The following is a 3,230-nucleotide window of genomic DNA, read 5'->3' as shown; positions in this document are numbered from 1 at the left end:
TGTGTAGTGAGAAAATAATTTCCACTGGAGATACGCATGGCATAGGTTTCACAATTACTGGATAACTAATATTAATGAAGTCCATTTTTTTTAGTTATTTTGTACCAGAAAAGAATATTTATATCTTTGAAAACAATGGTCTTTTAGCTCTCTACGTTCAGGCTCAACCACCTATGTAGGCCATGGTCAAACTATGTGCAAGTTTTTAAAATATCAAACAAATTTCCTATAAGTTTTAATGAGAGAGAGAGAGAGAGTAATTGCATGCTTTCATTTTCTACTAGATAATTATGTCATACAGAACATCTTATGTTCACCATCTGCTCTCTTAAAAAATCTTCTCTTGACCTACAACTTCATACAATTATTTATGTCCTATTTGTAGGAAAAAAATGTCTGTATGCACTATCTCCAAATTCCTCTTCTCCAGTTTTCTATTAATTTCATTTCAGTTGAGATTTCTGTTCCCAAATTGCAAAGAAGTTTGTATTCTCAGGGTCTTATTAATAAAGAGTATTTCTCCTAATCCAGGATTAGTTTTTAATTCTCATTAGCCACTAATATTTGATTCCAATGATTATTCTCCTTTTCCTAAAATCATTCAGTGACCCCCCTGCACCGGCCCTCCAGCTGCCTCAGTTCAGCCTGTTTTGCTTCTTTCTCATGATCTTTCTGAGCACTAGGGTCAGCATTACCCAGATCTCAATTTCTGACATCCTTTCTTCTGTACATACTCTATTTCCTTAAAGGATGCCAAGTCCCATGTCTTTACATGCCACCTCTGTGTTAATAACCCCATAATTTTTATCTCTAACTTGATGGTTTGCCTAAACATCTTTTTCTATGGCCAACTGCCTACTTGATTATCCCCTTGGACATACTAAAGGCACTTCAAATGTAATATGTTCTAGAACAAACTCTTATTTACCCTCTTCGTACTTGGCCCTAAATGGCAATGCCATTCTTCCCCTTGCTTAGGACAAAAAATTTGAAGACATCATTATCTATCATCATTCTGTCATATAACAAATCTAACTCATCTGTAAAAGCTAGCATGTCTTTATTCAATATACATCTCAAATCAATGGCTATTCACTGCCCCACAACTATCATTCAAAATATAATCCGATATTCTATCTTACCTAAACAATAACTAAAGCCTTATAATTGGTATTTCTACTACCATTTCTAATTTTCAAATCCCTATATGGCATTGAGAACAATTGTATATAAATATGTCAGATTAAGTCACTCTTCCATTGCATATTATGTTATTGCTACCATCTTATTCAAAATAGTACCTTAAGTCAAACATTCTTAATGTGGCCTAAAAAGTACTACATATTCTAGCCCCTATTAGTCACATAATTTTTCCCTTCTTCTATACCCTTTTCATCTGTTCCAACCACACTTGACTCCTTGCAGAACAGCCTGGGCTTGAAATCATTTTCTCCAAGATAATTATCAGTCCAGACACTTATTTAATTCATGTATCTCAGAAATCAAGAGAGGCATTTACTGTCCACTTTGTGTAAAAAAGCCAATGCCACCAACGTGTGACTATTTATCATTTCTGACCTTGTTTTTTTTTTCTACAGGATCTGTCAACAGAACTAAAAATTTTACCTAAAGTTATGATATACTTGGAAGATTTCTTTTTTCTAATCAAAATTCTCTTTTGAGAATCCAACTGGAACTCAAAATTCCCTTTTGAGCTCTGATTCTAACAATAGAGCTACAAAGTGAGAACAGGACCTATATTTTTGCATGAAAGAGCATTAATTGCTTAGGATTAAAGTCTTCCACTGGTAGTCTGGGATACTTTTCATGATATGCTAACAAGAACTATCAGGGTTGAGGGCCAATTTAACTTTCTTCCTATCTCTGAAGTAATTGACATAGGGCATGTTTATGAGAGAAGGCAAAGAGTCAGTCTCATCTCTGTCTAGGATAGGCCAAACCTGTGGTCCTGGTAAATCACGGTTTGTGCAGCAAAATGACTTCACAATATCAAAGCTCTTTATAAAATCCAAACAGTTACTGAGTTTTGCATAATTGACATTCTGCATGATTAAGTGCTTACTTTTATTAGATTAGTTTTGTGGGTATTTTTTTAAGGAATGTGCAATATTATGTGTTGACTGAATGGAATGGAAGTGATGCAACATTTTAACAATAAAGGCCTACAGAGAATAAGTACATGGTAGAAGAGAGAAAGGAGGGTCACATTAGGCTCATTTAACAGTATTCCACTCAAGCATGTTCCACTTCCCCTCAGGGCATGGTTATAAAGATGGTCCCTGCTGAGTTTATGTCTACACATCACTTGCTATATCTAGAGGGAGAGACAGTTAATGGTTTTACATACCCCTTGCTGTGCTCAGAATCATATGTCTTCTCAATCAAATGATACAGATAATTAGTAATTCTAATAAAGACTCAAGCTTGACAAATTTTACAAAATTGATTTTAATTTGTTTTTAGCTTTTTAAAAAAATTCCCAAAGTTTTAAGGCAAACTTTATCAATATATACTTAAGTAGACTAATAAACTTCGCTTTGGTATTGTATACAGATCTTAACAATTGATTCAGGGCAGATGTCTAACTGTCTCCTCTTTATAATCATATATTAGATATTTTCTAGAGCTTAAATTTTGCTTCCTAGTTTTTTCACCTACGAAATAGAGATGTTTTATTAATAGAGTAATGATTCGTTATCAAATAAAACAAGATAGATGTGGGTTTTGTAGCTTTGGTTTTATGTCTCCAAACTCTTGGTTTAGATTTGAGTTAAATGACAATTATGTAAAATTTAGTTTGTCAATTAGTATTCATTTTCATTAATGTATATATCGAGAAAAAGAGTGAGAATGCAAATTTAGATTAATCCTTAACTCTCTCAGAATGTAAGGCACCTTTTTAAGAAGAGGTCATGTACAAATTAAAAATTGTTTAGCTAGCAATATTTTATTTCATGAAATATAAGAGAATTTTTTCAATGAGTGATGAAAAGATTCCTGATCGAGTAAATTTTAGAACCATAAATAATTGCCTTAGATAATTTAGTACCAATTAAAATTTGTGAAAGTTTAAGAATCCCTGCAATATGTAGATTTACATTTGTTTAAATCAGCATGTTGAACAATATTTTATTAAGACATATGTTAAAATATCCATTTATACTATAAACAATAGCTCTTCAGCAGGACATAGATTAGGAAACAGAGGT

This window comes from Homo sapiens, chromosome 6 (genome assembly GCF_000001405.40).
Source record: "Homo sapiens chromosome 6, GRCh38.p14 Primary Assembly".
NCBI classification, from domain to species: Eukaryota; Metazoa; Chordata; class Mammalia; order Primates; family Hominidae; genus Homo; species Homo sapiens.
Note: the sequence above shows the minus strand (reverse complement) of the source record.